The sequence below is a fragment of the Homo sapiens genome, chromosome 19 (assembly GCF_000001405.40).
Source record: "Homo sapiens chromosome 19, GRCh38.p14 Primary Assembly".
Classification (NCBI taxonomy): Eukaryota; Metazoa; Chordata; class Mammalia; order Primates; family Hominidae; genus Homo; species Homo sapiens.
In genome coordinates, this window is record NC_000019.10 from 33,994,942 (window position 1) to 34,007,986 (window position 13,045).

General features: G+C 38.5%; 1 long non-coding RNA gene across 1 annotated transcript, besides 1 other annotated feature; it reads right to left on the reverse strand.

The window, feature by feature from the left end:
• Nucleotides 1-5,296: 5,296 nt before the first annotated feature.
• Nucleotides 5,297-10,480, reverse strand: LOC105372371 (uncharacterized). The gene is made up of 3 exons (XR_935921.3): nt 10,398-10,480; nt 8,654-8,766; nt 5,297-5,457 (listed from the first exon to the last, which is right to left on the reverse strand). It is a non-coding gene; the product is annotated as an uncharacterized LOC105372371 (long non-coding RNA).
• Nucleotides 8,567-9,068: an enhancer, noted in NCBI's record as "H3K4me1 hESC enhancer chr19:34494413-34494914 (GRCh37/hg19 assembly coordinates)". NCBI's record gives its function as "activates a minimal SCP1, AML or CMV promoter by ChIP-STARR-seq in primed H9 embryonic stem cells {active_cell/tissue: H9 hESC(primed)}" and the evidence as "EXISTENCE:reporter gene assay evidence [ECO:0000049][PMID:30033119]".
• Nucleotides 10,481-13,045: the final 2,565 nt, after the last annotated feature.

The following is a 13,045-nucleotide window of genomic DNA, read 5'->3' on the forward strand; positions in this document are numbered from 1 at the left end:
GAAAAGAAGTAAAGGGTCAAGTCAACAGCCTCTCACAATCACAGTTGGCTATATTAACACCCTTCTCTCAGTAACTGATAGAACACATAAACTGAAAATCTAAAGAACACTATCAAATAATTTTATCTAATTAACATTTACTGACCACCATTCTTACCAAATTCAGAATGTACACTGTTTTCAAATTCATGTGCAACATTCACCAAGATAGGACCATATGCTGGGCCTTAAAATAAGTCTCAATGAATGTCAAAAGAGAGGATGGTCTTACCACACAATATACAATTACGTCTTACAATTACGTCAATAATTGTAAGATATCTAGGAAATCTCCAAATGTTTAAACAGGGTACTTCCAAACAAACTACAGCTCAAAGAATAAACACAATGGAAATTATAAAGTATTTAAAAGTGAGTGATAATTCAAACAACACACAAAGTTAGAAAACATAGTTAAAGCTGTGCTTAGAGAGCAATTTACAATGTAAATGTCTATGTTAGGAAAGAACGAATTAAAATCAACATTTAAAGTTAATATTTTAAGAAGCCAGTTAAAGAAAAACAAATACAAAACAGACAAAAAGAAAAAAATAACAAATCCAAAATGTAGTTCCCTGAAGTGATTAATAAATTGATAAAAATAAGTAGGACTAATCAAGAAAAAAAGAGAGAAGACACAAATTACCAACATCAGAAATGAAAGAGAAAGGTCAGGTATGGTGGCACATGCCTGTAATCCCAGCACTTCCGGAGGCTGAGGTAGGAGGATTGCTTGAGCCCAGGAGTTTAAGACCAGCCTGGGCAATATAGTGAGACATCATTTCTTATTAAAAAAAAAAAAAAAGTTAAATTAGCTTGTCATGGTGGCCCATGCCTGTAGTCCCAGCTACTTCGGAGGCTGAGATGGGAAGATGGCTCCAGCCCAATTAAGTAAAAGGACAATTAAGTAGTGGTTAAATTTCTTGAAAAACACAATTTACCAAAGGACATTTAAGAAGAAATGGAAAATCTGAATTGACTTCTATCTATAAAGGAAATTGAGCTCATAATCAAAAATCTTCCCACAAAACAACTCCAGGCCCATGTTATTTCACTGGTAAATTTTATCAATAACTTTAAAGGAAAAAATAATACCAATTTTATAGAAACCTTTTCAGAAAATGGAGAAGGAAAGAATGCTTTCAAACTCACTTTATGAGGCCAGCATAACTTTTATATATTTGTAGCCCTGGTAAGTATAAGTTCATTTTTCAATAAAGATGCAAATGTTATTCAATGAAGTAAAGAATAATCTTTTCAATAAATGATAAGAAACAACTGGATTTCTATATCTACATGTCTTTTTATATATAAATATGGTTATGGATTTTTTTTTTTTTTAAGACAGACTCTTGCTCTGTGGCTCAGGCTAGAGTACAGTGGCTCAATTTCGGCTCACTGCAACCTCCACCTCCCGGGTTCAAGCAATTCTCCCTGCCTCAGCTTCCGGAGTAGCTGGGACTACAGGCGCCCGCCACGCCTGGCTAACTTTTGTATTTTTCAGTAGAGATGGGGTTTCACCATGTTGGCCAGGCTGGTCTCCAACACCTGATCTCAGGTGATCCACCAACCTCAGCCTCCCAAAGTGCTGGGATTACAGGCATGAGCCACTGCACCCAGCCGGTTATGGATTTTTAAAGAGAACCTCACTTAGTTCCTCACACATATGCAAAAATTAATTTGAAATGTATCATAGACCTAAACTTATAAGATAAATCACATAACATATAAAAATTTTTCATAATCTTGAAGTAGGCAAAGATTTCTTAGAACACAAAAAACACTAACTGTAAGAGAAAAAAAATTGGAAGTTGAACTTCATCAAAATTTTAAACCTCGGCTAAGCAAAAGATTGCCAACAAGACAAAGATGCCTACTTTTATAACTTCTCTTCAATGTTGTACTGGAGGTTCTGGCCAGGGAAGTTAGGCAAGCAAAAGAAACACAAGACACCCAGACTCGAAAGTCTGAAATAGAACTATCTTTATTTTCAGACAACATAATCTCATATACAGAAAATCCTTTAAAAAATCTATTTTTAAAAAATGACTAATAAATGAATTCAGCAAGGCGGCAGGATAAATCAACATAGAGAAATCAATTGTATGTCTATACGTTAACAATGGCAATCTAAAATGAAATTAAGAAAGCAGTTCCATTCACAATATGGAATCAAAAAGAATAAAATATTTAGGGACAAATTTAACAAAAGAAGTGCAAAGCTTACACTCTGAAAACTACAAAACTTTGTTGAAAGAAATTAAGAAGATCTAAATAAATGGAGAGAGACATTACATTTTCAAAGGCTGGAAGACTTGGTATTATTAGGATGACAATTCTCCACAAATTGATCTAAGACTCAATGCAATCCTTATTAAAACCTCAGTTGGATATTTTTGTAGAAATTGACAAACTGATCTAAAGTTCATATAGAAATGCAAAATCCACAGAATAGCAAAAACAATCTGGAAATGAAAAACAAAGTTGGAGGACTTATTCACCCTGATTTCAAAGCTTAATACAAAACTCCTATACTCAAGACAGTGTGGTGCTGACATAAGGAGAGACATTTAGATCAATGGAAGAGAATTCAGAGTCCAGAAATAACCCTTTACAGTCATTATCAATTGCTTTTCAACAAGGGTACCCAAACAATCCAATGGGGGAAAGAATAATCTTTTCAACGAATGTTGCTGGGACAATTGTACAGCCACATGTAAAAGTATGTGTGGACCCTTCCCTCACACCATACACAAAATTAAACTTGAAATGGATCATGGACTATAATGTAAGAGCTAAAACTGTGAAACTCTTAGAAGAAAGCATGAGTAAATCAGTGATCTTAGGTTTCTTGAAGAATGATATCAAAAACACGAGATAAAATAAAAAATTGATCAATTGGACTTTATTACTCCCTCTAGTGGATCCAAAATATAACCATATTTATAACTATTTCATCTTTTAAAAACAATAGTAAAAGATATTTCCATAACAATTCTTCTACTCAGTGGTCATTTTCATGGTCATTATGGTGAATTACTTTTGCTTTCCTGTATAGCATGGCCAAGGGGCGTGAAGGTATTTTCAGGGGTGATAGAAATGATGTGTGTCTTGAACGTGGCGGTAGTTACACCACTGCACCAATTTTTATCAAAACCACTTGGCTTGAAGACTTAAAGTCTGTGTACGTATTTCACCATATGTAAATTTTACCTCAATAAAAATTTCATTTTACAAAGTGATCGCTCTGAGGAGCAGAAGACGAGCTTTTCACTGCAAGCCTTTCAGTACTTCTTAAAATTTTTAAAAGCGTGTGTATAAATTACTTTAAGCTCTTTAAGTTTTGAAAAATAAAACATGTTCCAATTTGAAGCTTCTTATTATCCTTGCTTCATAGAAAACAGAAGATGAGAAGAACTCTCTTGTTTGAGAGGGTATCATTTAGCATCAATAACAAGGTTTTCCTCTCTTCCTTCCCTGGCGTTCCCCCAGAGTCACAGCACCAGTCCAGGGAGACCACGGGGAGGTCCGGGAGCAGGTTCTGAGTCAGAAGAAGGCTTGCTTTTAAAAGCTGTGATGGAAACGAAGTTGTAATCATTTATTCCCTGTCGTGGAGCTACTGTACCAAACACAGAATCTCTAGGAAATGAAAGTCAGAATCTCAAAAGCTTCAGTTTTTGAATGCTAAAGCTTATTTGCATATCAATATTGCCTCAGGACAATACGCAGAATTAGAAAATTAAGGAACTACATTAGAAGAGAGAGAAAGAAATAGGACAAATGCGTGGAAGTATAGAGCTCCCCTCTGTCATCTAGTAAAAGTCATAAATAAAAAGCCACACTCAACTCCATGGCTGGTGAATTTTGATAATACTGTTACCAAAATTTTATTTACAAACTCAGTAACAAACAAATTTTTTTCATTAAAAAATACACATCTGTACAGCATTACTCCCTCTAGTGGATCTAAAAAAATAACCATATTGATAAGAATTTCATCCATCTTTTGGGGAACAATAGTAAAAGAAATTTTCATAATAATCATCATGCTGATCAGTGTTTATTTTAATGGTTAATCTGAATTAATTTTTCTTTTCTGTGTAGTATACTTTTTCTTTCCATACACTCTCCTGTAAAAAAAGGTACTTAACATTTACCAGAATAATTAATTACTCATAAATTAGAAAATGACAGACATTTCAAACATTACTTACAAGGATAAAAATTCAAAAACTATTGAAGGTAGTATTATACTCAACATAAATCGTAAATATTCAATGAGTTTCGCAGTCACTTTAAAGTAATGTGCAACTGAGAGGGTCATTGTAATAGTCTATTCACCCACGAACTGTTTAAAATTGGGTTAGTGATCATTTTTAACCCATTTATGCTGGAGGTTGCAATTTTTTGAATTTTTGCATAAGTGAAAAATCAGACCTTGGCGCTGACCTTGAGCAGTAGGATATAAATAACTCCCACAGGCTTGGTGTTCCAATAGTGGAACACTAGGCATAAAATAATAAGTAATCATTCAAGTTTCATGTCTACTTATTTTATAAAGTAAATTTTCGAATATAATGCAAGTATTCATTAGATCCTCAAATCTCATTTGTTGCTTAGAGGGTTTTTGTGAACATTTTTTCATGCCATCACTGTGTCTTATATTTGGGAGCAGAGAGGTAACATATAAATAAAAAGATGACACGTGTGTGTTGGCTTAACTTTTGAGTTTGTCACAACTCAGTCACAGATGTTGCTACTAGGGAACAGACACCTAAAAAGGGGTAAAAAAAAAAATAATGATGTTCAGTTGAGCTGATCTCTGTAGCCTAATCCAAGTGAAATTTTAATAATTAGACAGCAATCCCTGCTATTAGATGATCTGGGACTGGTTTTACTATCGCAAATAACTGAATGGAGTTTCACGTATCTTTTTAGAATGAAGAATTTGAAATGACAACACCACCTTAGAGGTGTGGGGCTCTTGCAGAAGTGAATTTAGGTAAAAGACTGATGACAAGGTTTCGTTTTGTCTGAGAAGTAACATTTAACGGCAGGCAAAGAGATACATTTCCCACCAAAATCGAATGCCACTACCATCTGCAACCCCACAGAGGCTCAGCTACCTAAAATGGAAATGAAAATATAATGTATGGAAATATTCTCTTAGAAAAACTCCTTAAGGCTTCACATGTATTAATGTATTAGTTTGCAAACATTAAGATCAAAGCCAAAGCAACAAATACATCCTAAAAAGTTTTTCGTCAGATTTTTATTAACGATATACAAGTAGCAGGGCATAAAAAATTAATAGGCCCAAGCGTTGAAATGTCAAACCCAATGATCTCTTCCATGCTCACCTCTTTTGCTTTTTTGTTTCAGTCTTGCTGGCACCGGGTCTTCTTGCCTTGAGCAACTCTACACGGTTAAGAAAAGGAGAAAGAAAGGTTAACAGATGGTTTAAGAGCCCCTCATCTGTTGCAGTAAGTTAAAAAATAGCAAAGGAAGGAGAATAGGATCCAAGGTGTCAAAAACGCAAGGCCTAAATTCATAGACGTGTAATTTCAAGCCTTTGGGCTTACCCAATAAACCGTTAAATATTCAGTTTTAAATAAAATCTACTGTAGGTTTCTTTAAAAAAAAAAACCAATTTGCTTATAATATTGCTAACTCAAGTTTAAAATACAGTTTCTCTTCCTTTTTAAGTCTTTAAAATGCTGTACATTGTCCTTCTACCCTCATTAGCCTCTCTATATAATTCCATGCACCCAAATCTTTTATTTCCAAGAAGCCTAACTAATCTGATGGAGCAGCCACCACAAAGCAGAGATAGAAATGTGGTACTCACTCCTGTAGTCCCAGCACTTTGGGAGGCCGAGGTGGGCGGATCACTTGAGCCCAGGAGTTCGAGACCAGCCTGGCCAACATGGTGAAACCCCATCTCTACTAAAAATACAAAAAAAATTAGCCAGGCATGGTGGCACATGCCTGTAATCTGAGCTACTCGGGGGGCTGAGGCAGGAGAATGGCTTGAACCCGGGAGGCGGAGGTTGCAGTGAGCCATGATCGTACCACTACACTCCAGCCTGGGCGACAGAGCGAGACTCCGTCTCCAAAAAAAAAAAAAGAAAAAAGAAAAAAGAAATGTGCCTAACACACACTTCTCACATATCCCATGGTGCCAAACTTTTAGACCCCAAATCACTTCGACAATGAAATCAAACCTGAATTGCTAACAGTTATTTGCACAACATCTGTCTCAGATATAAGCCAGCAACACAAGGCCGGACATCCTCCTTCCATGCTGTTTAGCATGTGCTGATATAGGAAAGGCCTAAAGAACTATGTGAATGCTGGGTGTGGTGGCTCAGCCTATAATCCCAGCACTTTGGGAGGCCAAGGCAGCTGGATCACTTGAGGTCTGGAGTTCGAGACCAGCCTGGGCAACATGGTGAAACCCCCATCTCTACTAAAAATATAAAAATTAGCCAGGCATGATGGTGCATGCCTATAGTCCCAGCTACTCAGGAGGCTGAGGCAGAAGAATCACTTGAATCCGGGAGGCAGAGATCACACCACTGCACTCCAGCCTGGGTGACAGAGCAAGACTCCATCTCAAAATAAATAAATAAATTTTGACTTGAAATTCCAAAAGAAAAATTTTGCCTGTTTCTAATCTATATTGATTAGCAATATATTGTAAACAGAACAAATGAAGAATGACCATACTAAAGCTGAAACACTCTGCTTAAAGAGAGAACAATGGCAGACACCATCATCAGAGGGACCTGGAAGAGGACACTGACCCCAGCAGGGAGTTGTGATGGAAGAGGAGACAGCTTCACTGTGTACAGAAGAATAAGCTTCCTACTACTGGACTGGGGGTGGCTCCCATCCCCGGGACCAGTGTCTGTCTCCAGTCCTGAGCGAGTCAAGGTAGAGACACTGAGTATGCCTAGGATTGGATGGTCTGAATAATTCCAGCTGTTTCTGGGCTATAGGAAAGATCTCTGGTTGTCCTGTACCTGGCCCTGGGGTGACTTAGTACATGGGGAATATTGGCTTGGTGTGTGAGAATTTGATAAAGGAGATGGTTGTGGGTTGGGCTCTGGATTGGTTGGTTTGTATGTTAAAGGCATGCTTGCAGGGGAGTCCTTGGCTATCTCTAGGAATTATCTCTAGTGCTGGAAGGGGCAGTCTCTCCAGGATCAAGGCCCGCAAATGCTTGAGCATGAAGAATCTAGAAAATGAGAAAACAGAGTCAATACAGAGTAGAAATGGTAAGTCTATCTAACTCTTGAGAAATTTTGCCATAAAGGGGAGCAGGGAAACGTGGTTATAGACGGGGCAGACATGATACAAGAAGTGCTTTTTTTTTTTTGAGATGGAGTCTCACCCTGTCATCCAGGCTGGAGTGCAGTGGCATGATCTCAGCTCACTGCCACCTCTACCTCCCAGGTTCAAGCAATTCTCCTGCCTTGGCCTCCCGAGTAGCTGGAATTACAGGCATGCACCACCACTCCCCACTAATGTTTGTATTTTTAATAGAGACAAGGTTTCTCCATGTTGGCCAGGCTGATCTCAAACTCCTGATCTTAAGTGATCCGCCCACCTCGTCCTCTCAAAGTGCTGGGATTATAGGTGTGAACCACTGCCCCTGCCAAGAAGTGCTTTTAATAAGAGAGAGAGTATAACATGCTTTTATGCTGCTGGGAAGCAAGGAGTTGAGAGAAAAAGCAATGAGTGGGAGAATGAAGAGATGAGCCACTGAGCGGGAGGAGAGATGGGGCGCAGTGTGTGAGTAGGGGCTGCTTACAGCCCCAGGAGAGCCAGGGTGGGAACAGAGGCGGGGAGGCTGGTGTTTTTGATTTCATGGCTGGATGATGAGACAGTTCTCATTTTACTGCTTCTTGTTTCTCAGTGAAACAGACAAGGTCATCTACTGAAACATGAGGAAGGGAAAGGGTGTTGATGATTGAAGGAGAAGGCATGAAACACCAGTTTTGGAGAGTGGCAGAGTGAGCCAACTGGAGAGATGGATTTGTGTTGCTGAGCCGTGCTACAGGCCCACTTGTGGTTTGTGGTCCTTAAGTTAAAGTTGGGCTAAGTTAGGATGGTATTGGTTGAGGGAGTTCTGAGTATTTATTCTAAGAAGAGGGTATAGCTCCGAGTATTCTAAAAAGAGAGTGTAACTATCTACACACATATAGATAGTTGTATTTCTGGCTACCTAAAGAGGACCGGAATGATTTAGCTCAAATGAGAAAAGAAATTGTCTCCGTGAAGTGAAGTTATGGGTAGTCTTTCTTAACCTCTTTCCATGTTTCAGAATTTTCATAAGATGTTCCAAACAGTATGTATTTCAATATATAAACAGATGAAAACAATAAAGCTATTTCAGAAATCGGGGAAAAAAATTAAAAACCCAACAAAATGAGGTTTTGCTGGGAAAGAAAGCAGCTAACCTAATTTCCTGTAGAAAAACTGCTATCCTAAATGTGAATGCTTTCTTGACTATTAATTTGGATATAATTATAACCCTCTACAACAGGAGAAAGACTAATGAATCACAGGGGAAAAAATGAAGGAAAAGCACAATACTGCAAAAACATACCAAAGACAAAACTGCAAAGCTACTGAAAACATAAAAGGATGTCTTAACAGGATACTCATGTCCTCTTGGGAGACTTCCAGGTGAAATGATTGAAGATGATTTTCCAGCCGTTCCTGGAAGGTGGGGTAAAGAAAGAGGAAAAATTTCCTGGCACGTCAGTCTATGAAATAATATAATGCAATATGAGGGGAATCTTGGACGGGCTGATACGAAGTCAGAAACCCATGCAAGGGTTGCAATCTGTTTCCTGTTTCTCTGCAGTCCTACTCTGTTCTGTGATGGCTGGGACAGATGGGGCCCCACAGCCCCTTCCTTGTCACATGGCAGACTGAGCAAAGGGGACTGATTTGGGAGGGAATGGGGCGCCTCCAGCTTTCTGGGCACTGCAGGCCAGCGGGTTATGGAAGGTCCCGCTTGCCCTGGGCAGCCATGCCAGCTGGTGGCTGGTGCTTTGGAAAGGTCCTCACTGTCAGCCACAGTTGCTTAATCTAAAAACCCAATCTTCTGAAAGTGTCAGTGCTGTTGGAGCTCAACGTCTGTAAGCTTGGCCAAATATGTCAAGAAGGACCGACCTGTGGGCTTAGGGGGAAAAAAGCAAATGAATGCCAAGTTTACACAGATAGGCCACATTTTAGTTTACTTTTACTAAATCTTAGCCTTTCATTTTGTTGGAAGACATGGAGAAGGCACACGATGGAAAGACCCTTCACCTCCTCCCACTTTAAATTTTAGGGATGATAAATTACCGTGAAATTAATTTAGTTTTGCTATTACACTTTTACCGTGAGTCCCGAGCCAAGGACATTTTTATGTTAAAGTCTTTGTAGATGTCATGTTTTTGTATGCCTGAAATACCTCTGTGTATAATATTGATATTGGAAAAAAATCTATTAATATTTTGTAAAATGATATGTCTGGTATGGCATTTGACTTCTTCTGGGGGAAAAGAACATAATTGTGCAAAATGTTAGAAATTCTACTATCGAGACTGCACAAGTATGACAGATACACTAATTCCAGTAAGTATAGGTAGAGATCTTCATGAATGGGGAACTACATTTGAAAAGATCATTTCTGATATAATTGGAAATCGGGGGGATTCTTAAGACTCTCCAAAAAAACCCACTTTTCCTGAGTACTTTGCTTTTTAGGCAGAAAAAGAATTAACTCCTAAAGCCATCCCACTGGCACAAAGAGAGTCAGGGGTTCTCTCTGGAATTTTGTTATAATAGGGCTCAGCACATTCTAGCGTGATTGTTAGTTTCAGACACTTGCCACCTGTGTGCAGTTGGTGAAAGTAAGAGGAATGCTACTTTGCCTGACCTCGTTTAAGAACAAGAACAAACATTCTTTTAGAGTTTAAAACTCAGGACTCATGCTTTAATCTTTCAAACTCCCATCTTCCCAGGGCGCCCTCAGCTTTCATCAGTGCTTTTCTCATAGTCATGCCTCTTATAGTTTTATAATTTTTTAAAAGGCAATACTAGATGAGTTTAAGGCGCTGGTATCCATTTTCCATTAAATAAAGTGTCAAAACTTCTGATACTATACTGTAGAGTCACCACCATGCCAACAGTTTTAATTTCAAACACATTTTCCCCATTCTGATGATATTAGAACTTCACCCATGGCACTACTACCTTATAACTTTTATTTTTAATTAAAGAAGTTAAATTGGCAACAGAAAACACTTTGCTTTCACATTAGCTTTGTTAATAAAAAGTGAACGTTTAAAGCAGTGTACCTGTGGATGAAATCAAGTTCCAAGCTCCAGTTTCCCCTTTATCTCATGAAGGCATCAAGCTAAAGGTCTATGCTTATGACAATCTTAAAACAAAAGGAACAAGGAAAGATGAAAATATTTAAAACCCAACTATTTTCAGCTGATGGCAAGTCAAAAAACTACACGAGATATTTTAATACAGCAAAGATTCCATCCTTCTAGATGCTTTGCAAAATGATATTAGATAACTAATCATGAGAGGCAGCGAAAACCTCAAAGCAAGTGAAATAAAAATAATTATAATTAAAGACTGGGTGTAGCAGCTCACGTCTGTATTCCCAGCATTTTGGGAGGCTGAGGCAGGCACATTACTTCAGGTCAGGAGTTTGAGACCAGCCTGGCCAATATGGTAAAACCCTGTCTCTACTAAAAATACAAAAATTATCCAGATGTGGTGGCAGGCGCCTGCAGTCCCAGCTACTCAGGAGGTTGAGGCACCAAAATCGCTTGAACCCGGGAGGCAGAGGTTGTAGTGAGCCGAGACCGTGCCACTACACTTCAGTCTGTGTGACAGAGCAAGACTCTGTCTCAAAATAATAATAATAATAATTATTATTATTATTAAAGGGAAACATGGTAGATATTGATACATAAGAAGGAAAACCTACAATTATCATATAATTAAAGAAGTAACATTGAGGCAATATAGAACAATATACAGAGGTAAAGCGTTTCCACTATCATAGTAGAAACAAATTAAAATACTTTTGATTTGGTTAACATAAAGGGAGGAAAACAATCTGGATGTCTTTTTTACCAGTTTATTATTATTAAAGCATGAATACTTGGGGTTTATGTAAACTGGTAAAGAAGATATTCAGATTCTCTCTATATATGTCTAAAGATATATATATGTATAATATATTACATATATTCATTATATATTATCTTACATTTCTATCACTTACATATTATGTAAATATTCATTCATTCTAAAATTGGAAAAATGCTCTATTTCTAATCAGGCTGGAAAAACAAAATACCAGATTTCAAATTATTCCTCTAAACTTCTTCCACTTTTAAAAATAGATACCCTTGTTTATTAAAAAAAACAAACAAAAAGCCTTAAAGCTTGAAGTGATACTAAAAACTCAACCATCATAATAACCAAGAAAAATAGTCAAAATTATCTTAAGACACAATTTTATTAGACTTCGTGAAGGAAAACTGGAGGAGTGACCATGTGGTCACCTCCCCTCTCTCTCTCCCTCTTAAAACCATGCTAAAATTGTAAGGAACTCTAAACAAACGTGTAATTTCATGAAGATGAAGAGAACTGAAAAGAAATACATACACATGTAGATAGATGTGTCAAGTGTGGGCCGGATGTGGTGGTTCATGCCTGTAATCCCAGTGCTTTCGAGGCCAAGGACCTCTTGAGTCCCAGCGTTTAAGACCAGCCTGGGCAACTAACAAGACCCCATCTCTTTAGAAATTAGTTGGGTGGGGTGGCATGTGCCTGTAGTCCCAGCTACTCAGGAGGCTGAGGCTGGAGGATGGAAACATGGTAGAAGTAGATGCAGAAGGAAAATCTACAATTAGGCTGAACTACAATTAGGGTGAGCCTCCCAGGCTTGAGCCCAGGAGTTGGAGACTGCAATGAACTATGATCACACCACTGTACTCTAGCCTGGGTGACAGAGGAAGATCCTATCTTTAAAAAAAAAAAAAAAAGAGAGAGAGAGAGAAAGAAAAAAAAGTGGATGAAGGAGTTCCAGTTCTACTGCTGAGATGGAGAAAGAACACTCTAGCCTATCTCTCCCACTGAACGGAGCTATAAAACATACACAGCATGCATGGATTAGTTCTTTGAGGATTCCAAAGGGAACATGATAAATTAAAGAAAAATAACATAATTTGAAGTATCACCAAACCTTTTTTTTTTCCCCTCCAGTATCCCCCAGCCTGGATGAGACACAGCTGGAGCCTGGAATGGACATGGAGCAGACAGAGAGCTTCAGGACACACCCGCTCATTCTGGCTTGAGGAGCAGGAAAGGCATCTGCCAACACTCCGAGTTAAGTAGAAATATTACCCACACCCCATCATCAAATTTTTGTCATTCATTCCCTCACACCTCAGCCCAGAGCTACCCACAGGTGCCTAAAATTCTGAGGGAGAGGAAATTTCCTCTCTAATCAGGGGATGTCCCCCAACAGGAAGGGACAAATCTTGTGTCTACTTGCTCTTCCTTCCTTCTCTCCTTCTGTCTTCCCCTCTGTCTCTCTTTCTCTCTCCTCTCCCAACTCTTGGCCATGGGAAGTGCATGGCAGAGCATGATAAATAAAGCCTCCGCTTTCTGACCTGAGAACTGAAAATGGAGCACCCAGAGAACATAAAAGTACCTGAGAGATGGTGAAGAAATACGAGTTGGAGAAGACCACCCCATAAAGTCATTTATGAACTCCTGGGCAAGCTTCCGAGCTGCACATGCATGGATCTAATCCCAAACCACTCACCATAGACGTCGTGAACTGAACAACAGAATAAAGCATAGCCCAGATCCCAGACTGACCATTGGTGGAGCACATCTGGGACAGATCTGATAGCACTGCAAAGACTTTGAAAATCCAATTCACATTGACCTACAACCTTTACATCTGGTTAGA